Source organism: Homo sapiens, chromosome 8 (assembly GCF_000001405.40).
Source record: "Homo sapiens chromosome 8, GRCh38.p14 Primary Assembly".
NCBI classification, from domain to species: Eukaryota; Metazoa; Chordata; class Mammalia; order Primates; family Hominidae; genus Homo; species Homo sapiens.
Window position 1 is genome coordinate 94,742,284 of NC_000008.11, and position 23,860 is coordinate 94,766,143.

Here is a 23,860-nt window from a genome sequence, read left to right on the forward strand (position 1 = left end):
GGAGGCAGAGCTTGCAGCGAGCTGAGATCTCGCCACTGCACTCCAGCCTGGGCGACAGAGCGAGACTCCGTCTCAAAAAAAAAGAAAGTCTTATATTTTACTTATTTTTTTTTTTTACTTTCTTTTTGAGACAGAGTCTTACTCTGTTGCTTAGGCTGGAGTGCAATGGCACGATCTTGGCTCACTGTAACCTCTGGCTCATGGATGCAAGTGATTCTCCCACCTCAGCCTCCCCAGTAGCTGGGACCACAGGCACATGCCACCATGCCTGGCTAATTTTTTTTTTTTTTTTTGAGATGGAGTCTTTCTCTGTTGCCCAGGCTGGAGTGCAGTGGCGCGATCTTGGCTCACTGCAACCTCTGCCTCCCAGGTTCAAGCAATTTTCTTGCCTCAGCCTCCCGAGTAGCTGGGATTACAGGCACATGCCACAATGCCCAGCTAATTTTTTTGTATTTTTAGTAGAGATGGGGTTTCACCATATTGGCCAGGCTGGTCTTGAATTGACCTCAAGTGATCCACCCACCTCAGCCTCCCAAAGTGCTGGGATTATAGGTGTGAGCCACCGCGCCCGGCCAATGCCTGGCTGATTTTTATATTTTTTGGTAGAGTTGTGGTTTCACCATGTTGCCTAGGGTGGTCTCAAACTCCTGACCTCAGGTGACCCGCCTGCCTTGGCTTCCCAAAGTGCTGAGCTTACAGGCATGAGCCACCATGCCCCACCAAAAGTCTTTTATTTTATTTTATTTATTTATTTATTTTTTGAGATGTAGTCTTGCTCTTGTCGCCCAGGCTAGAGTGTAATGGCACAATCTCGGCTCACTGCAACCTCTGCCTCCCGCATTCAAGTGAGTCTCCTGCCTCAGCCTCCTGAGTAGCTGGGATTACAGGTGCCCACCACCACACCCAGCTAATTTTTGTATTTTTAATAGAGGTGGGGGTTTTGCCATGTTGGCCCAGGCTGTTCTTGAACTCCTGACCTCAAGTGATCCACCCGCCTCGGCCTCCCAAAGTGCTGGGATTACAGGCGTGAGCCACTGTGTCTAGCCAATTCTTGTATTTTAAAGTGAAGTGGGGTCAGGTGTAGTGGCTCACACCTATAATTCTAGCACTTTGGGAGGCCCAGGTAGGAGGATCACTTGAGACCTGGAGTTTGAGACCGGTCTGGGCAACATAGTGAGACCTCATCATCTCTACTTAAAAAAAAAAAAAAAATAGCCAGGCTTGGTGGTGTGTGCCTGCAATCCCAGCTACTCAGGAAGCTGAGGCAGGAGGATCACTTAAGCCTGAGGCTGCAGTGAGCTATTGACTGTGCCATACACTCCAGCCTGGGTGACAGAGAGAGACCCTGTCTCAAAAATAAATGAATGAATGAAGTTGTATTTAATACAAATGATTATTGTATTATTTAAAATATAGACTTTCTAAAAGGATTGCTTTCTTGGCTGCGTGCAGTGGCTCACGCCTGTAATCCCAACACTTAGGGAGGCTGAGGCGGGTGGATCACTTGAGGTCAGGAGATCAAGACTAGCCTTGCCAACATGGTGAAACCCCATCTCCTCTAAAAATACAAAAATTAGCCAGATGTGGTGGCAGGTGCTTATAGTCCCAGCTACTCAGGAGGCTGAGGCAGGAGAATTGCTTGAACTTGAGAGGCGGAGGCTGCATTGAACTGAGATCATGCCACTGCACTCCAGCCAGGGTGACAGAGTGAGAGTCTGTTTCAAAATAAATAAAAATAAAAGGATTGCTTTTTTGATTGTGTGATGTATTAGTTATTGCTGCATAACAAATCACCCGAAATTTAACAGCTTAAAACAACAAACATCTCACATATTTCGGTGGGTCAGGAATCCCAAGAGGTTTAGATTGGTGGTTCTAGCTCAGGGTCTCTCATGAGGTTTCAGTTATGATGTTGGCTTGTACTGTGTCGTCTGAAGGCCTGGCTGGGCTGAAGCATCTGCTTCCAAGCTCACTCATGTGGCCATTTCCCAGAGGCCCAGTACCTTACTGGCTTTTGGCCAGGGAGGCCTTAATTTCTTACATATGGGCCTCTCCATAGGGCAGCATGCAACTTGGCAGCTGGTCTCCCTTACAGTGAATGATCCAAGAGAGTATGAGAGAGTGTGCCACAATGGAAGCCAGGTATCTGTTATAACCTCATCTTAGAAATGATATAACATCACTCTGCCATATTTTGTCAGTTGCACAGACCCCTGGTACAGTGTGGGAGGTGACAACACAGGATATTAATACCAGGAGGCAGGAATCATTGGGACCGTCTTGGAGGCTGGCTACCACATTCAATTAACTTTGCTATTAATTTCATGTAATCCCTATATCTGTCTTCATATTTGAAGAGGAAAAGATACTTTCTCATGTAAACATAATGGTTTTAAAGAATAAGACTCTCTTATGCTACTTAAACAAAAGAATAAGACTCTCTTTAGAGATCTTAGTGAGAATTGTAAGAAATAAAATAAACAGAAGTCTGACTGCCTTATTTGATGTCACTGATGTATGTTGTATTGCTGGAGTAGAAGTTAAATAGAAAAATTGACCTGGTATATTCTACTCAAATGTATCTTTTGACAATTGAAATGTTCTTAATAGCTAAGTTTTAAAAAATGCGTTTGTTTGCTTTTTGTTTATATTTTATTGGTATGTATCTTGTACTGCAAAATACATTTTAATGCCATGAAAGAATATGCTGTCTCTTTATTCATCAGCTTTATAGCTTTTATTTATATATGACTTCTTAGAAAAGTATAAAAAGATATTAAAGTCATTCCATTATATTATGATTATTCGTGTTCTTAATGGTATTTTATGTTACTTGTTCCTTAACACTGGAAGGGGAAAGCAGGGTTATAAAATCGTTCCTGTTTGTTCAAACTAAAAGGTGTAGGTATACTAGAAAATTCAAAGAGATTTCAGGAAACGGCATTGTACAGATAGGGGGAAAAAATCAGAGGTGAGTGACTCCCTTTGAAGACTTGCCACCAAAATGGACTGACAGAGTCCAGGTTCCACGTAGAAGCAATGTGGAAATTGTCTTGTTCCCCATGATCTTCTCATCTACAAATACATACCTAGGTTTCACTTTCAGGGGAAACATCTTTATATTTGAGGAGTGCTGAAAATATGTTTGATTAAAAGTCTGTATTAAATTTAATCTTTGGCAAAAAAGCAACTGTACATTGTAACATTGTACAGTTGTACAATGGTAACAATTAAGGAATAAGATGCAAGGAAATGTACATGTCCCAGAGATACAATTGGCAGACAATAATGGAACACATGATACTGATTCTGTGGTGATGATGTTGGTATACTCAGGCTGCTGGTGGAGATATAAGTTTTTTCAATTTTAGGGAGCAGTTTCTCCCAGGAATTCCGTTTTATTCCAAGGAAGTAATTCAAAAAGAAGGAAAGAGTTTGTTACTTGGATTTATGTATTGTAGCATTGTTTGTAATAAATTTTTTTTTTTGAGACGGAGTTTCACTCATGTTTCACAGGCTAGAGTGCAATAATGCGATCTTGACTTACCGCAACCTCTGCCTCCCAGGTTCAAGTGATTCTCCTGCCTCAGCCTCCCGAGTAGCTGGGACTACAGGCATGAGCCACCACACCCACCTAATTTTGTGTTTTTAGTAGAGACAGGGTTCCTCCATGTTGGTCAGGCTGGTCTCAAACTACCGACCTCAGGTGATCTGCCCACCTCAGCCTCCCAACATGCTGGGATTACAGGCGTGAGCCACCATGCCTGGCCATTTTTTTTTTTTTTTTTTTTTTTTTCAGATGGAGTCTGTCTCTGTTGCCCAGGCTAAAGTGCAGGGGTGCGATCTTGGCTCACTACAATGTCCACCTCCTGGGTTTAAGTGATTCTCCTGCTTCAGCCTCCTGAGTAGCTGGGATTACAGGCACCCACCACCATGCCCAGCTAATTTTTGTATTTTAGTAGAGACAGGGTTTCACCATATTGGCCAGGCTGGTCTTGAACTCCTGAACTTAGGCGATTCACCTGCCTTGGCCTCCCAAAGTGCTGGGATTACAGGCGTGAGCCACCATGCCCAGCTTGTTTGTAATGATTTAAAAAACAATACGTTTATAATTTATAATAGTAATATAGTCACTTGTAATAATATAAAAAATCAGAAGAGAATGGTTAGGTAAGTTGTAATACATTAGTACAAGGGAATGTGCAGTCATTGTATTGACATTGTACAGGTGGTTTTCAGCTTTCACATATTACATATTGACATGACAAACTTAGACATATGTCATCTAACTCCTTGTTTCTCAAACTTCAGTTATAGATATTTAAAACTTAAGTTATTCTCATGGATTCATGTGTTGACTTAAATAATTTGAATTATAATGCTACTTAAATATAAAACATAAAACTAGGTAAAGCTCCTTATACTTAAATGTGCTATAAAATTGAAACTAATTTACCAATAAAATAATAAACCAGTAAAATATTACTTGAAAATACTAATTTATGTAAAAGTGATATTTTACCGAAACCAAATTGTAAACCCTCAGTGTAAATGTGATACCAGTGTAGCAACAGGTTCATTCGTTTCTTTTCTTGCTTTCTTTCTTTCTTTTTCTTTCTTTCTTGGAGACAAGGTTAGCAGGTCCTTGCAACTGTAATACACCTGTACAACTGGGTGCTGTGAATGACTCAGTTCTCATCATTTTGGCTCTGTTAGTCTACTACAAACAATTTTTTTTTTTACCATAGTGATCAGAACATTGGTTTTTTTTTGTTGCTGTTGTTTCGGGTTTTTTGAGACAGAGTCTCACTCCCATCACCCAGGCTCAAGTGCAGTGGTGTGATCATAGCTCACTGCATCATCAACCTCCCTAGACTCAGGTGATCTTCCCATCTTAGCTTCTCTAGTAGCTGGATAACAGGTGTACACCACCACGCCCTGCTTTTTTTAGTAAAGGTGGGGTCTCGCCATGCTGCCCAGGCTGGTCTCGAACTCCTGGGCTCAAGCGATCTGCCTACCTAAGCCTCCCAAAGTGTTGGGATTACAGACATGAGCCACTGTGCCTGGGTGATTGTTTTGTTTTTATTTGGCAATGTAGCATTTATTATTAAGACTATGTCATTTTTTCTGATTAGCCCAAACCAATTAAAGTGGTACCGCATTGCCAACTAGATGTTAACACCACACGAAAGTGAGCACTGAAGTCTTTGGCAATAGTGAGTTCCATGGGGGTCATCCATGTGATGTATAGTGTTTATACTATGATGGTTCTTTTTTTTTTTTTTTTTTTTTTGAGACAGAGTCTCGCTCTGTTGCCCAGGCTGGAGTGCAGTGGCACGATCTCGGCTCACTGCAAGATCCGCCTCCCGGGTTCACGCCATTCTTCTGCCTCAGCTTCCCGAGTAGCTAGGACTATAGGTGCCTGCCACTATGCCTGGCTAATTTTTTTTGTATTTTTAGTAGAGATGGGGTTTCACCATGTTAGCCAGGATGGTCTCGATCTCCTGACCTCATGATCCACCCGCCTCGGCCTTCCAAAGTGCTGGGATAACAGGCGTGAGCCACCGCGCTGGGCCTATACTATGATGTTTCTAAACATTAAAATGAAGACACGAAATTAAACTCAAAGAGAAGTTGCAGAACCCTGTGAATGTATCAGCAGGTCTGTGGACTCCAAAATTGATCTAATTACTGTTTTGAACTGTTAGTTTGTGCTACAATCTGTCAGACTCTGCTACTGCAGGAAAAAAGTGGGTCTCATTTGATTTTGTCACCTCCCACTGTTAGCCTTCTGGTTCTTACTCCCACCACACATTGTCAGGGGAAGAGAGTGAGTAGCATAGGTGTCGAGGGAGGTGGTAAAGGGGAGGCTTGTCCAGGATGTCACTTGTGGGTGCAGGGAATGGCTGGCAGAGATCCTACTCAGTTTGTGCAGCAGACACTGGAGAAGGATTCTTCCCATCTGTATTCCAGACACCTACCTTGTGTTTCTGGTGCAGAGTTTTAAAGATTTGACTGCACTAATATGTGAGTTGGGTAGGGGTGGTAGGTAAACCTTTGGGAACGGAACTACTGAGTTCAGCTTCCTGGTCCTGGGCTGATGGAGTGGTTGCTGGGGTCCTTCTGCCCCACCTCTTACCTTATGATATGTGAATTTCTTGTTTGTCTTTTAGAAAGTTACCTTTCAAAAAAATTTTTTGGGATAATATTATATGAAAATAGGTCATCTTTAGAACAGGGATTCCCAACTCCCAGGCCACAGACCAGTACCCATCAGAGGCCTGTTAGGAACCTGGCCTCACAGCAGGAGGTGAGTGGCAGCAGCAGCAGCAGTGACAATGATGATGATGATGACGATGATGATGATGATGACAACTGCAGATTTATCTGTATTTACTGCCACTCCCCATTGCTTGCATTACTGCCTGAGCTCCGCCTCCTGTCAGATCAGCAGAGGCATTATATTCTCATAGGAGCACGAACCCTATTGTGAACTGCGCATTTGAGGGATCTAGGTTGTGTGCTCCTTATGAGAATCTAACTAATGCCTGATGATCTGAGGTGGAACAATTTCATCCCCAAACCATCTCCCCAACTCCCCTGTATTAGTCTGTTTTCACACTGCTGATAAAGAAATACCTAAGACTGGGAAATTTACAAAAGAAAAAGGTTTAATGGACTCAGTTCCTTGTGGCTGGAGAGGCCTCACAATCATGGCAGAAGGTGAAAGGCACGTCTCACATGGTAGCAGACAAGAGAAGAGAGCTTATGCAGAGAAACTCCTCTTTATAAAACTATCAGATCTTGTGAGACTTATTCACTATCACGAGAATAGCACGGGAAAGACTTGCCCCCATGATTCAATTACCTCCCACTGGCTCCCTCCCACAACACTTGGGAATTGTGGGAGCTACATTCAAGATTAGATTTGGGTGGGAACACAGCCAAACCATATCACCCCACATCCACGGATTGTCTTCCAGAAAACCAGTCCCTGGTGCCAAAAAGGTTGGGGGCTGCTGCTTTAGAAGATGTTGGGCACGGGAGTTCAATGTTGCAAAGAAATCAACATTGAGACAAAGGTCCCTCAGCAAGGCTAGTTTACTTTCTGCAGAAAGGGTGTACTCGGCAGCAGTCCAGCCACGAGAGCACACTGAACAAAGGAGTGGAGGACATTTATAACCTTTACATCCTGATGCAACCCCCTAGAGCTGTGTCCTGTTCCCATTGACTGGGATGGGACCTCACACTCTAAACTTAACTCGATTGGCGAATAATTTAAAACTTTCCTAAATAGGGAGAAGGGAAAGAGGACAAAGAAAAGAGGAAGTTAGTGATAAGAGGTCAGAGGGGTTTCCAAATAAGGAATGGCATGCATCCTAATTTGGGACTCATTTAGCCTTATCTCAACCTACCAGAACAAGTTGGAGCAGCCTTGGAATATACACATACAAACATTTAACCAGGGAATGATAAACCCTTTATGGATTAAGAAACTTTGAAGAAGAACTTCTCTATTCCCTACAGAAGACATCATGTTCATTAAATGGTATTGGGACAACCAAATCTGGAAAATAAATCCTTATTGCACGTACATTAAGATAAATTTCAGATGGATTAATGAGCTTAAACAATGAAATCAATAATTACTATATAAAAATATTGGTTCATGTTTTTTGTTTGTTTGTTTTTGACCAAGTCTTGCTCTGTAACCCAGGCTGTAGTGCAGTGGTGCAATCTCAGTTCACTGCAACCTCTCCCTAGTGGGTTCAAGTGATTCTCATGCCTCAGCCTCTTGAGTAGCTGGGACTACAGCCGTGCACCACCACAGCCAGCTAATTTTTGTATTTTTAGTAGAGATGGGGTTTCATCATGTTGGCCAGGCTGGTCTTGGACTCCTGGCCTCAAGTGATCCACCTGCCTTGGCCTCCCAAAGTCACTGTGCCTCGCGTGGTTCATGTTTTAAAAAATTATTTGTCATAGACAAAGTTGGAAACAAAGTGTATAACAATAGGAAATTGGTTAGATTATAGTAGATCTACACGATGGTGTGTCATGGTCATTAACTGTTCTTGAAGTATGTTTATTGACGTGTATCTTGGAAAGATGTTCATAATATATTGTTAAGTAAAAAATAGTTTGTTAGAGAATTAGAAAAGAGCTAAGATTTGCTATAATACTGAATGTTTACTAGGTTCTAGGCACTGCTAACTTCCTTGCAGCTTTTGTTTCATTTGACTCTCACATGTGATCCTGTTTTTGCATATATATGTGTATCTGTGTGTGTGTGTGTGTATATATATGCAAACCTATCTTCTATGAATGTATATGTGAATAACTATTTTAATGCTTTTTTAACAGCTTTATTGAGGTATAATTGACATAGAATGAACTGGACATATTTAGAGTGTCCAATTTGATCAATTTAGGCATTTGAATATACCCACAAAATCATCAACACAATCAATATAATAAACATATCCATCACTACCCAAAATTTCCTTTTTTTTTTTTTTTGAGACAGGATCTCACTCTGTCACCCAGGCTGGAGTGCAGTGGCGCAATCTCGGCTCACTGCAACCTCCACCTCCCAGGTTCAAGCAATTCTCCTGCCTCAGCCTCCTGAGTAGCTGGGGTTATAGACGTGCCACCATGCCTGGCTAATTTTTATGTTTTTAGTAGAGACTGGGTTTCACCATGTTGGCCAGGCTGGTCTCAAACTCCTGACCTCAAGTGATCTGCCTGCCTCAGCCTCCCAAAGTGCCGGGATTACAGGCGTGAGCCACTAAGCCCAGTCTCCAAAATTTCCTTTCTAATACCTCCCTCTTTTCTTTCTTTTCTTTTTTTTTTTTTGAGACAGAGTCTCACTCTGTTGCCCAGGCTGGAGTGCAGTGGCGTGATCTCGGCTCACTGCAAGCTCCGCCTCCTGGGTTCACGCCATTCTCCTGCCTCAGCCTCCCGAGTAGCTGGGACTACAGGCGCCCGCCACCGCGCCTGGCTATTTTTTTGTATTTTTGGTAGAGACGGGGTTACACTATGTTGGCCAGGATGGTCTCGATCTCTTGACCTCATGATCCACCCGCCTCAGCCTCCCAAAGTGCTGGCATTATAGGCGTGAGCCACCACGCCCGGGACCTCCCTCTTTTCTTACCCAACCACCACTACTATGCTGTTGTTCCCAGGAAACCTGTGTCTGGTTTCTTATTTATTTATTTATTTATTTTTTGAGACTGAGTCTCACTCTGTCGCCCAAGCTGGAGTGCAGTGGCATGATCTCGGCTCACTGCAGCCTCTGCCTCCCGGGTTCAAGCACTTCCTGCCTCAGCCTCCCAAGTAGCTGCGATTACAGGTGCGCACCACCACGGCCAGCTGATTTTTGTATTTTTAGTAGAGATGGGGTTTCACCATGTTGCCCAGGCTGATCTCGAACTCCTGGGCTCAAACGATTCAGACGCCTCAGCCTCCCAAAGAGCTGGGATTACAGGTGTGAGCAAGCATGCCCAGCATAATTTGCTTTCAGTCTCTATAGATTAGTTTGTGTTTTCTAGAATTATATATTAATGGAGTCATACAGCATATACTTTTTGGTGGTGGGGCTCCGGCTTTTTTTACTCAGCATAATTTTGGTATTCATGTATGTTGTTTATATTAATAGTTCATTCTTTTTTATCACTAAGTTCTATTACATAGTATGGATATATCATAGTGCATTTATTCAGATACTGATGGACATTTGGGTAGTTTCCAGTTTTGTGGGGACATATGCTTTCATTTCTTTTGGGTAGAATGGCTAGGTCATATGGCTGGTGTATATTTAACTTTTAAGATACTGCCAAACTGTTTTCTAAAGTGATCGTACCATTCTATTTTTCTATCAAAATTGTGTGAGAGTTCCATGTCGTCTATATTCTTGTATTTCCCTGATGATTAATGATATTGGGTACCTTTTCATGTGTTTATTGGTCATTCAAGTATTTTGTGAAATGTCTAAGTATTTTGCCCATTTTAAAAGCTTAGATTGCTGGGGGCAGGGTCTCACGCCTGTAATCCCAGCACTTTGGGAGGCTTAGGCAGGCGGATCATGAGGTTAAGAGATCGAGGAGATCATCCTGGCCAACATGGTGAAACCCCCTCTCTACTAAAAATACAAAAATTATCCGGACATGGTGGCACGCGCCTGTAGTCCCAGCTACTCAGGAGGCTGAGGCAGGAGAATGGTGTGAACCCAGGAGGGGGAAGTTGCAGTGAGCCGAGATTGTGTCACTGCACTCCAGCCTGGGTGACAGAGTGAGACTCCATCTCAAAAAAAAAAAAAAAAAAAAAATAGAAACCTTGTAGCCCACAGCCTCGCTAAATTCATTTATTAGTTTTAGTATTTTTTTACGATTTTTTTTTTTGTGTGATGGAGTCTCGCTCTGTCACCCAGGCTGGAGTGCAGCGACGTGATCTTGGCTCACTGCAAGCTCCGCCACCCCGGTTCACGCCATTCTCCTGCCTCAGCCTCCGGAGTAGCTGGGACTACAGGCGGTCGCCACCATGCCCGGCTAATTTTTTTGTATTTTTAATAGAGACAGGGTTTCACCATGTTAGCCAGGATGGTCTCGATTTCCTGACCTCGTGATCCGCCCACCTCGGCCTCCCAAAGTGCTGGGATTACAGGCGTGAGCCACAGTGCCCGGCTTTTGAAGATTCTTGAGGGTTTTCTATGTACACAGTATCTTCTGCAAAAAAAAAAAAAAACCTGACAGTTTTACTTTCCTTTGCAACTTGATTCCTTGTGTTTCTTTTCCTTATCGTACTGTACTGGCTAAGCTATGGCAGAAAATTTAACAATGTTGGCCTCTGAATGGATGAGATTATAGGTGTTTTAAGATTTTTCTTCTTTTTGTTTGTATACATTTTCTAATATTTCTTTAACAAACATATACTGCTTTTATAATAAAATATTTTTCAAAAAAGAATAAGTATGAAGAAGGGAAAACATGCAAAATACATTTAAGTTTAAAAAGCAGAATGTAAATTAATTGAAGAGTTTTGATTCTGTAAAATATTTATATAAGGGATAAATACTTGAATGGATTATAGGGCAACGGAGATCCTTGATTTTTTATAATAGTGATTAGTATTGTTACACATATTGACAAGAACAAAAATATTTAAGTGTAATTATTTTTTACCCTGTTTTTATCTCTTTCTTCCTAGGAAATTCTTTTGTTTTTGCTTAGCTACTGAACTGTTGTGCTAAACAGAAAATGGTCAAAATATAATTTTGAAGACTCACAGAGAGGGCTGCAGATGACTTGACATAAGAAAGTGCGGTGGCTCAAGCCTGTAATCCCAACACTTTGGGAGGTCGAGGCAGGTGGATCACGAGGTCAGGAGTTGAAGACCAGCCTGGCCAACATAGTGAAACCTCATCTCTACTAAAAATACAAAAAATTAGCCAGGCGTGGTGGCAGGCACCTGTAGTCCCAGGTACTCAGGAGGCTGAGGCAGGAGAATCGCTTGAACCTTGGGAGGTGGAGATTGTAGTGAGCTGAGATTGCACCACTGCACTCCAGCCTGGGCGACAGAGCAAGACTCCGTTTCAAAAAAAGAAAAGAAAGTACATTGTGCTACCGGGCGTGGTAGCTCACACCTGTTATCCCAGCACTTTGGGAAGCCAAGGCAGGCAGATTGTTTGAACCCAGGAGTTTGAGACCAGCCTGGGCAACGTGGCAAAACACTGGCTCTACTAAAAATACAAAAAATTAGATGAGCATGGTGGCATGTGCCTGTAATCCCAGCTACTTGGGGATACTGAGGTGGGAGGATCATCTGAGCCTGGGAGGTCGAGGCTGCAGTGAGCCGTGATCGTGTCACTGTACTCCAGCAATTGGGGAGGGAATAGGAAAAAAGTTATTAGTGCTTAGAGGTCTGAGACTAGGAAAAGAGATGAGTAAAAATGATTTTTAAGATTTATTATGTATGCTGCTGTTATATAAGGAGAAAACTGCTTTCTCAGAAATGTTTTGTTCCTTTGTTTTCATGGCATTTTGAAGTATGTGTTTGTTTCTTTTGGCTGTGATAACGTGCCGAGCCTGGTTGGATTTATTGCTGTTGCAACTTTATCTTCTTGGTCTGTGAGGATGTAACATTTGTAATTTTGATTATTTGCAAACAATTCAGTAGTTCCTGATTGGTGTAATTGGAAATATAATTACCAACTCTGATACCAGTATTCAGGAGTGTATTACTTGGCCTTTGAGGGAACCAAGTTAACATGCAAGTATGTTCATCATTATTACTTAGGAAAGTTAGGCAGCAATTTTCATAAATTTTCAAAAAAACAATAGCACCTTTATTTTTGTGTAGAAAATAGCTATTGAGTGCAAGAGAGCCAAATTCTATGATTGCTGGATAGGTAGTCCCCTTGTGGTATGTGGATATGCACACAACACAACAAGCTCTCAATGAAAATTGATTGAGGAGAAATTTAGGAGGAAGCTACAAAGACATTCCTATATTTCTTTTTCATTTTTTTGAAATAGAGTCTTGCTGTGTCACCCAGCCTGGAGTGCAGTGGTGCGATCTCTGCTCTCTGCAACCTCCGCCTCCCAGGTTCAAGTGATTCTCCTGCCTCAGCCTAACAAGTAGCTGGTACTACAGGCACGCGCCACCACGGCAGGCTAATTTTTGTGTTATTAGTAAAGACGGGTTTCACCATGTTGGCCAGGCTGGTCTGGAACTCCTGAGCTTAAGTGATCCACCTGCCTCAGCCTCCCAAATTGCTAGGATTACAGGCATGATCCACCGTGCCCGGCCTGACATTCCTATATTTCTGATTCTGGGAATTTTCAAAAGTCTCTAAGTATATCACATATAAGACTGTGATATTAATTCTGGGGAACCTGCTGACTGAAAAGATTATTGAATTAGATATCAAAAGATAAGCATTTTAATCCCAATTATGCCACCTACTAGCTGGATGGCTTTGATTAAGTTACCTTACATTTCTGAACTTCATACTCCTTTTGTAAAGGGGAATAAGAACTTTGGATCTACCATGCTGCTAATTATGCGGTGCAGATTGTACACTCTAGTGAAGGATAGCCATCTGGTTAAGGGAAGGGAGGGTGGGGCTGAAATCTGGGGTACTCTGTGCAACAAGCTGTGTACCTTAGCATGGGGTCTGTCCAGAGAAGGCATGCCTTCTTCAATCTCTCACAGAGGCCCATCTGTTTCACCAAGTAGTGCACAGTAGCTCTGCAGCTTCTTGGGGGCAGCGGGGGCTGGGGGTGAGACCCTATTAATTTGCTCAAAGATGCTGTATAGACAATGGTGGATCTGGGCTGGGTGCGGTGGCTCATGCCTGTAATCCCAGCACTTTGGGAGGTCGAGGCGGGTGGATCACCTGAGGTCAGGAGTTTGAGACAACACGGTGAAACCCTGTCTCTACTAAAAATATAAAAATTAGCCGGGTGTGGTGACGCGCGCCTGTAATCCCAGCTACGCAGGAGGCTGAGGCAGGAGAATCACTTGAATCCTGGAGGCAGAGGTTGCAGTGACCTGAGATCGTGCCACTGCACTCCAGCCTAGACGACAGAGCGAGACTCCATCTCAAAAAAAAAAAGGACAATGGTGGATCTGGCTATGCCTACCTCACAGGATTGTTATGGAGAACAATGAGATTTGTGTTAAAGTACTTTGAAAAGTATAGTGTAACACAAATATAATGTCTTATTTTTACTGTTCATCTGTGGTTTATTTTAGGGTAGATACAACAAGAATTGAATACTCCATTCCTTTAAGAGAAAACTGGGCACTACCATATTTTGCATGCCAAATTGCTGCACTTACAGGCTATTTAAAAAGCAACTTAAATACTTATGGAGAGGTAAGATACAAATCTGTTTTATCTGTTGCAGCTAATTCTGATGTATTGCAAATGTGGCACATAATAGCAAATAAATTTTAGTCCTAGTAAGAATTAAATCATATTTAATGAAGCCTGGTTACTACATAATAAAAGATATAGTTAGGTAGTTTTCTTACAACACTGTTACTCTGTAATCTGATTAACAGTAAATTAGGAGAAAGGAGATGTTTTATCATTTTAATATAGTTAACTTGACAAATATATGAAACATATCTTATTTTGAAAATCTGTTCCACTGTTATTTTATCACTTCTCGGACTTCTGGAACATTGATGGCCTTCAATCACCATGATTTAAAGATATATTAAACAAGATGTAAAGAGTGACCACAAATGACAGGAGTGTTAACTTGAATGGCAGCACTGCGTATTCTGTTTCTTCTCATGTTTTCTGTGACTGAGGTATAGGTAGGTTGGTAAAAATTTCAGGAGACTGTCCCTGGTAGTTTAGATTCTTACATTGTTATTGTTATTGTTGTTGCCACAGCCCTTTTGGCAGTTGGAAGAAGCCTGTGGAGTCTGTCTCAGGATAATGATTTTAGGCCAGACATGGTGGCTCATGCCTGTAATCCCAGCACTGTGGGAGGCTGAGAGGGGCGGACCCACCTGAGGTCAGGAGTTTGAGACCAGCCTGGCCAACATGGTGAAACCTCATCTCTAATAAAAATTCAAAAATTAGCCAGGTGTGGTGGCACACGCCTGTAATCCCAGCTACTTGGGAGGCTGAGGTGGGAGGATCCCTTGAACCTGGGAGGCGGAGGTTGTAGTGAGCTGAGATCACGCCACTGCCTTCTAGCCTGGGCGACAGAGAGACCCTGTCTCCAAAAAGAAAAAGAATAATGATTTAAAATACATAAAATGATTATAGAGGCAACCAGTTATATTGAAATTGACTGAATTGTAACAGTCCTTTGATAGTCTTCTTATCTGGGGTTAAGAATTACTGGCTAGAAAAAGAGAGCAGAGATTATTAAACCTGGTTGTCCAGGAAACAGGATGCACTTATGGGTCCTTTATAAAAATCTCTGAAAAAATGTGCTATTCTTTTCTCCTTTCAGTGGTGACAAATGTCCTGAGCATAGCAAACTTTATTATTTCATTTTTATAACTAGCATTTCCTTTTTTGCATGTAAAATAACATGAACACATTTCAGCTTTGTGATCTTCCTTTATGTTGTATTTGTATAAAGATCTTTCTGCACAAGAGTATATTTTCTTTTTTTTTTAGACAGAGTCTTGCTATCTGTTGCCCAGGCTGGAGTGTGATGGCGTGATCTCTGCTCACTGCAACCTCTGCGTCCCGGGCTCAAGCGATTCTCCTGCCTCAGCCTCCTGTGTAGCTGAGATTACAGGCACCCAGCACCACACCCAGCTAATTTTTGTATTTTTAGTAGAGACGGGGTATCACTATGTTGGCCAGTCTGGCCTCGAACTCCTGAACTCAAATGATCCACCCGCCTCAGCCTCCCAAAGGGCTGGGACTACAGCCGTGAGCCACTGCGCCTGGCCAAGAGTATATTTTCTTTAATAGTCAGGTAGTCTATGATTGAATATTTTCCTGTTTGATTGTACAGCTGTCAGGGAAGAATAGTTTTTCAATTGTTAAGTAAAAGAGTTTCATATAGGCCGGGTGTGGTGGCTCACACCTATAATATTACCCAGCACTTTGGGAGGCTGAGGCAGGCAAATCACCTGAGGTCAGGAGTTCGAGACCAGCCTGGCCAACATGGTGAACCCTCTCTCTATTAAAAATAACAAAAAATTAGCTGGGTGTGGTGGTGCACAGCTGTACTCCCAGCTACTTGGGAGGCTGAGGTGGGAGAATCGCTTGAACCCGGAGGTGGGGGTTGCAGTGAGCTGAGATCACACCACTGCACTCCAGCCTGAGCAACAGAGTAAGACTCCATCTCCAAAAAAAAATAGAGTTTGGTATAGCAAAATGAACTGCCTAAGTTTCTTTATATTTATCTCTTTGTTTCTTTGAGACGTGGACTCGCTCTGTCACCCAGACTGGAGTGCGGTGGCGTGATCTAGGCTTACTACATTTTTGACCCCTCACCCAGCTTCCCCCAGTAATATCTTGCATGACCATAATACCTTGTCAAAGTCAATAAATTGACATTGATATAATACTGTTAATTCAGGCACTGACTTTCTTCAGATTTCACCAGGTTTTACATATACTGCTTTTGTGGAAAGTGGGTGTATAGTCATATTAGTTGTTATCACACGTATAAATTTGAGTAACTGTCATCATAATCAAGACATAGAACTCTTCCGTCACCACTAAGAAAATCCTGTGTACCTTAATAATCACATCCTTCCTGTAACCCAAACCTCTGGCAACCACTGATCTATTCTCTATCACTATAATTTTGTCACCTTGAAAGGTTATATAAATGGAATCAAATCATGTAGTATGTAACCTTTTAAGATTAGCTTTTTTCACTCAGCCTAATAATGCCCTTGACATCCATGTGAGTTACTGTATGTGAATACTTTGCTCCTTGTCATCGCTGAGTAGTATTTTAGCAATTTTTTTTTTTTTTTGAGACGGAGTCTCTTGCTCTGTTGCCCAGGCTGGAGTACAGTGGGACAATCTCAGCTCACTGCAACCTCCGCCTCCCAAGTTCAAGCGATTACCATGTATCGGCCTCCCTAGCAGCCAGGACTGCAGATGCACGTCACCACACCCAGCTAATTTTTGTATTTTTAGTAGAGACGGAGTTTCACCATGTTGGCCAAGCTGGTCTTGAACTCCTGAGCTCAAGTGATTCGCCTGCCTTGGCCTCCCAAAGTGTGTCCGGAGTTGGTTCTTTCCAGTGGGTTCATGGTCTCGCTGACTTCAAGAATGAAGCCGCGGACCCTTGTGGTGACTGTTAACAGCTCTTAAAGATGGCATGGACCCAAAGAGTGAGCGGTAGCAAGGTTTATTGTGACGAGCGAAAGAACAAAGCTTCCACAGCATGGAAGGGGACCCAAGTGGTTTGCCACTGCTGGCTGGGGTGGCTAGCTTTTATTCCCTTATGTGTCCTCTCCCATGTTCCATTTTTGTCCTATCAGAGCGCCCTTTTTTCAATCCCCCCTGTGATTGGCTACTTTTAGGATCCTGCTGATTGGTGCATTTTACAGAGCGCTGATTGGTGCATATTACAGAGCACTGATTGGTGCATTTTACAATCCTCTTGTAAGACAGAAAAGTTCTCCAAGTCCCCACTCAACCCAGGAAGTTCAGCTGGCTTCACCTCTCAAAAGCGCTGAGATTACTGGTGTGAGCCACTGTGCCTGGTCTACATGTTCTTTTTTTTTTTTTTTTTTTTTTTGAGACGGAGTTTTGCTCTTGTTGCCCAGGCTAGAGTGCAATGGCATGATCTCAGCTCACTGCAACCTCTGCCTCCCAGGTTCAAGCGATTCTCCTGCCTCAGCCTCCCAAGTAGCTGGGATTACTGGCCTGTGCCACCAAGCCCAGCTAATTTTGTATTTTTAGTAGAGACAGGGTTTCTCCATGGTCAGGCTGGTCTCGAACTCCCGACCTCAGGTGATCCGCCCGCTTCAGCCTCCCAAAGTACTGGGATTACAGGTGTGAGCCACTGTGCCCGGCCCATGTACTTTTTTAAAATCACATATTTTGTATTTTGCTTCCCATTCTTGAGGCTAAGTTTCGTGGTCCCAGTTGCCTCAGGATATCCAACTTCAGTTCAATCTTTTGTGCAATTATCTGGAGTCATTCAGAAACATTTGTGGTTGATTATTGAAGCCTGTTTGATGTATCACATAAATCCTATGTGTAAAAAGTTCACACTACAGGCACAGTGAAAGTGAAGCCCTGTGAGACACAGCAAGCAAGGTCAGGGTAGGCAAGACTGCACAGAACCTTGAAAATGCTCAGGGAAAGGAATAACTTTGCTAACTCTCCAGGTTGTGTTTGATACGTAGTTCTATCTTTAAGACATTTTTACTGTATGCTCTTAGAGTAGTTTGAGAGTCAACCCTTGGAATTAACAATTTGTTTTAGTATGTTGTAGGTTTCCCCCAGAATCTCAGAAGCAATCTCCAAATGCCCAGTACATTAATTAGGCTGGGTCTAGATTTGAGCCTTCATTGCTTTCTGGAACTGATTTCTCTGGGGATGATGGTGTCTGGTTATTACAGTTCTGTTTGTTCCACGTTAGAAGGCTTCCAGAACCCTTGCCCTGTGCACAGCTATGGTGACAGGAAGAGCAGAAGCTTATGTCAGAGCCCTTCTGTGCTTTGCAGTTGGTGTTATTTGCCCAACAGGTGGAAGTTTGCCATTTCTTACATTCGGTTCTCTGGTCTTAATCTTATTCAGGATGCTGGAAAATTATTTTATCTGCTGATGGCTGAGATATTTCTGACTCTGGAATTTATCCTTGAGTATAGTCAGCTGAGTATGAAAGACTTAGTTTCAGAGAGCACAGTTCTTATCTTAGGTTTCTTGACTGACCTTTATTGTCCTTCTCCTTCACTGTTCTTATCTGAGCAAGGTCATTTGACACTACAGCCAGTGAAGGGATCCAGAATTTAAAAGTAGGTCCATAGAAGAAGGAGAGGCTGTTGTTGCATACGTTATGGGATTTGTCACAGACTTGGTAACTTGCCAAGGGATCACATGGGAGATGACATTTTGAAGGACAGAATTGACTTAGCCAGGCAGATTTTCGGCAAGGGCAAGGACATCCCTTGTGTTTAGTATTTAGCAGAGGAAAACAGCTGAAAGTTTAATATGGCTGACAGTACAGGCATTGGGGAAAGATAATACTTCTGTTGACAGGAAATGAAAAAAGCAAAGACATGGGCTGTGGAATAGGCTGAGATGTAAGCAGACTATTTAAATGAAGTTCTTAGGAAAATAAGTTCTGAACCCTGATGAATACCAGCATTTAAGTTATTTGGACAGAGAGAAGTTAACATAAATTGTTAACCAAGTATAAAGTCATTAACTTGCTAAATGAAAGGGTAATAGAGCCTGAAAGTTTCATAGAGATCGCAACTCCAGAAAGCAGCTACCACCACCAGGACTGAGGGAACAAAGGGAAAAATAGGAAATTATTAAAACTTGAAGCACCATGGAAGTGAAATGTTATTTTCACAGCAAAAGGAGTTGCCTCCCCAATAACAAAAGCTCACCAGCCAGGTCTAGTAAATGCCACCCTTTCTTGTATTTATTGCTTTACTTCTTTTGGGATGAAAGAAAATTATATTGAATTTTCTTTTTCTTCCCCTTTGTCTTCCTGAAATTCTCAATGTGATGTTGAACATTGAAGGACAAGTAGTTGATTTCTCTCAAGTGCCTTATTTGAGCTCTTGTCGTTTTTGTAAGGATTTAATAATAATTATGTGATTTAAAAACAAAGTTTCAATAATTATATAGCTTAAAGTTGAACGAGTAACAGAGCTACAACTTTGAGGTAACAGTCTCATAGGCTTTTATTGTAATAAAGTTATTGATATTTAGTTTCTTTCATTTGTTTTCCCTAGAGGTTTTGCTACTTGTTGATGAGTGCTTCAACTTACACATTTATGATGATGTGGGAGTATAGCCACTATCTCCTGTTTCTTCAAGCAATATCTCTATTCCTGCTAGATACCTTTTCAGTGGAGCAAAGTGACAAGGTATTATGGCATTTTGAAATGGTGATTTTTAAGAGAATAAATGTATTTATAGCATTGTATCTTAAAACCTCTCTTTTCTTCATCCATACACTCATATGGGAACCCCGATGCATACAATATTTAAGTTATTTGGACAGAGAGAAGTTAATATAAATTGTTAACCAAGTATAAAGTCATTAACTTGCTAAACGAAAGGGTGATATGAGCCTGAAAGTTTCATAGAGATCGCAACTGCAGAAAGCAGTTAACTGCTAGGGAAAAAGATGAAATTATTAAAATGTAGAAATGTAGAACAGGGACCTCACAGAGCTGATACTCAGACTTTTGAGCTCAGAAATATCAGCTTTGCTCAAAAGTAGGGCCCTTCAGAAATGAGACCCAGGCGTCTGAGGATGTGGCTATGGCTGGCTGCTCTTGGGTTTCTTGAGCTGGAAGATGTGATGAAGCTGGTTCTTGAAGTGTTGGAAAAACTGCAGCTGCATCCGGTGCTTCCATAGGAAGTAATTGCTCTGTTGGGGTGAAGAAGCATCCTTGAGGTGAGATCACAGGACCCTCAAGCCATCAGGAAGCAAGAGGAAGGAGCCAGGCTTGCACTTTCCCTCTACCATTTCCTACTGGCAGAGCTTCATAGGGAACCAACAGGAAAAGCAGAAATGTAGATTGCAGAGTCCCAGGCCCAGCATTGCCAGGCAAAGGATAGAAAAGGGAGTTTGGAGCTAAGAGAGTTATTTGGTAACTGGCACGCATCTGTAGAACCAGAGCCCAAATCAAAAATAGAACGTAAGCCAGGTGTGGTGGCACATGCCTGTAGTCCCAGCTACTCAGGAGGCCAAGGCAGGAGGATTGTTTGAGCCCAGGAATTCAAGTCCAGCCTGGGCAACATAGTGAGACCCTATCCCTACAAAAAATTTTTAAAAATTAACTGGGTGGGGTGGGGGCTGAGGCGGGAGGATCACTTGACCAGCCTGAGCAACATGGTAAGATCCCACCTCTAAAAAATTAAAAAAGGGAATAGATCATTACCAGCACCCAGAAGACTCCATCTTGCTCTCTCTCCCAGTCATTACTTCAACCCCCAACAGGGTAGCTACTGTTCTGACTTGTAACAGTGAGGTCTCTCTTTTTTTTTTTTGAGATGGAGTCTCACTCTGTTGCCCAGGCTGGAGTGCGGTGGCTCAATCTCAGCTCACTGCAACCTCTGCCTCCCGGCTTCAAGCGATTCTCCTGCCTTAGCCTCCCGAGTAGCTGGGATTACAGGCGCCTGCCACCATGCCCAGCTAGTTTTTGTGTTGTTAGTAGAGACAGAGTTTCACCATGTTAGCCAGGCTGATCTCGAACTCCTGACCTTGTGATCTGCCCGCCTCAGCCTCCCAAAGCTTTGGAATTACAGGTGTGAGCCACCGCACCTGGCCAAGGTATCTTTTTTTTTTTTTTTTTTTTTTAAATGGCTCTGGCTATTGACTGATTTTTTTTCTGTCTTTTTGTTTGTTTTTTATTTTATTTTTATTTATTTTTACTTTTTTGGAGACAGGGTCTCACTCCGTCACCCAGGCTGGAGTGCAGTGGCTCAATCACAGCTCACTGCAACCTCCGCCTCCCAGGCTCAAGCAATCCTCCCACCTCAGCCTCCTGAGTAGCTGAGACTACAAGTGCGTGCCACCATGCCCGTCTGATTTTTCTTTTCTTTTTTTTTTTTCTTTTTTTGAGACAGAGTCTTGCTCTGTCACCCAGGCTGGAGTGCAGTGGTGCGATCTCAGCTCACTGTAGCCTCCGCCTCCCAGGTTCAAGTGATTATCTTGCCTCAGCCTCCTGAGTAGCTGGGATTACAGGCATGCCCCACCACACCGGGCTCATTTTTTTTTTTTATTTTTAGTAGAGAATGAGTTTCATCATGTTGGCCAGGTTGGTCTTGAACTCCTGGCCTCAAGTGATCCGCTCTCTTTGGCCTCCCACAGTGCAGGGGGATTACAGGCGTGAGCCACTGCGCCCAGCCCCAGGTGATTTTTCTGTTTTTCACAGAGATGGGGTTTTGCCATGTTGCCCAGGCCAGGCTGGTCTAAAACTCCTGGGCTCAAGCCATCCTCCCGCCTCTGCCTCCCAGCGTGCTGGGATTATAGATGTGAGCCACCGAGTCTGGCCTGTTTTTTAGCATATAACTATTTTCTGGGAGATCTTCTAATAAAACATTGCATTTAACTTTGTTATGCTCACTAGTTGGACCAAAAACAATACTTTACTCTGATGGTGCATTTCATGGCAGTATATTTTCACTGGGTAGGTTTTGGGGGCTACTGCTAAAAATTATGATTTTTGATTTATGTAATTTGAGGTTGCATAGATGAATTTTAATAACAGGGCAAACTAAGTGAAATTAAGAAGGTTCTTCCAGTCTGATTTAGACACTGATGCTTTTAAAGCTCTTTATTTTGTTTCCAGAGAGTTTTAAGAAAACAGTGATAAGGGCCGGGTGTGTGGCTCACGCCTGTAATCCCAGCACTTTGGGAGGCTGAGGCGGGCAGATCACAAGGTGAGGAGATCGAGACCATCCTGACTAACACGGTGAAATCCCGTCTCTACTAAAAATACAAAAAAATTAGCCGGGCGTGGTGGTGACACCTGTAGTCCCAGCTACTCGGGAGGCTGAGGCAGGAGAATGGCGTGAACCCGGGAGGCAGAGCTTGCAGTCAGCCGAGATCGCGCCACTGCACTCTAGCCTGGGCGACAGAGCGAGACTCCGTCTCAAAAAAAAAAAAAAAAAGAAAACAGTGATAAGTTAATTACACACTATTTTATACATATATATTATATATATATGTATGTATGTATGTATGCGTGTGTGTGTGTGTCTGTGTGTGTATATATATATATATATATATATATATATTTTTTTTTTTTTTTTTTTTTTTTTGTCCTGAGACAGAGTCTTGTGCTGTTGCCCAGGCTGGAGTGCAGTGGTGCGATTTTGGCTCACCGCAACCTCCACCTACTGAGTTAAGCGATTCTCATGCCTCAGCCTCCCGAGTGGCTGGGATTACAGGTTCCTGCCACCATGCCCAGCTAATTTTTTTTGTTTTTAATAGAGATGGGTTTCACCATGTTGGCCAGGCTTGTCTCGAACCCCTGACCTCAATGATCCACCCACTTTGGCCACTGAAAGTGCTGGGATTTCAGATGTGAGCCACCATGCCCGGCCAACATTAAAAATATTGATTAAACATTTGCATAATACTTTCCTAAATTATAGTAGAGCATTAACTGTATAATTATAGTTAAATCTATATAAAACAAATGAAAATATGTATGATAAAATATAACTTATTCTCACTTATTTTATTTTTGTCACAACAGGTTTATGAAGTTTATAAAATCTACATATTTTCCCTCTTTCTGGGATATTTACTACAGTTTGAGAATCCAGCTTTGTTGGTATCTCCTTTATTAAGTTTAGTAGCAGCCTTAATGCTTGCTAAGTGCCTTCAGGTAACTAGAATTATCTTTTTATTGTTCTTATTTTGATTTTTTTTTTTTGAAGTGGAGTCTCACTCTGTTGCCCAGGCTGGAGTACATCTCAGCTCACTGCAACCTCTGCCTCCCGGGTTCAAGTGATTCTCCTGCCTCAGCCTCCCAAGTAGCTGGGATTACAAGCATGCGCCACCACACCCAGCTAATTTTTGTATTTTTAGTAGAGACTGGGTTTCACCATTTTGGCCAGGCTGGTGTCAAACTCCCGACCTCAAGTGATCCCCTATCTTTGGTCTCCCAAAGTGCTGGGATTACAGGCTTGAGCCACTGTGCTCGGCCATTCTTATGATTACTTTTTAAATTGTTAATTTTTTAACACCTCACTTCTTTGTTCATATGATTTTTCCTCCACAGCTGAATGTGAAGAAAGGAAGTTTTGTAGCTAAAATAATAAAAGTGATTAATTTTTACTTGGTGTGTACTCTGACAATAACATTGAATATTATAATGAAGGTAAGTAACTCTCTGGGATTCATATAGTAAAACAAAATGAATAATGAAATATATTGGACTACATTTTAATGAGAATAATGAGATAGCACGTAATAGAGTTTGAACAGTATAATTTTGAGTTAAACAACAATCATAACTAGCATACTGGGTAAGAAAGTAGGATTCTGATTCTTTTCTGTATGTAGTTGAAAAAGGGAATGCATATTTTTCATTAAGTTAAAAATGTCATCATTACCCAGTTAACATTAAGCAATATATGGAATAAAGTGAGACAAATGAAAAGTGTTTAGAAGAGTGGGTGAGTTACTTGAGCCTGGTGGGATAAGGTTGAAAT

At 42.2% G+C, this 23,860-nt stretch overlaps 1 protein-coding gene across 11 annotated transcripts in view; it reads left to right on the forward strand.

Annotated features, from left to right (window-relative positions):
* DPY19L4 (dpy-19 like 4) overlaps positions 1 to 23,860 on the forward strand; it is a 73,937-nt gene that overhangs the window by 22,384 nt on the left and 27,693 nt on the right. For 5 of the 11 annotated variants that reach the window (XM_005250894.5, NM_181787.3, XM_017013352.3 and 2 more), the window contains 4 exons: positions 13,753 to 13,876; positions 19,417 to 19,551; positions 22,900 to 23,031; positions 23,428 to 23,526. In XM_005250894.5, the coding sequence (XP_005250951.2) occupies positions 13,753 to 13,876; positions 19,417 to 19,551; positions 22,900 to 23,031; positions 23,428 to 23,526 (490 nt within the window). Of the gene's footprint in view, positions 1 to 13,752; positions 13,877 to 19,416; positions 19,552 to 22,899; positions 23,032 to 23,427; positions 23,527 to 23,860 lie in introns of those variants that run through there. The other 6 variants (XM_047421714.1, XM_011516983.4, XM_047421715.1 and 3 more) reach the window with 4 other exon arrangements.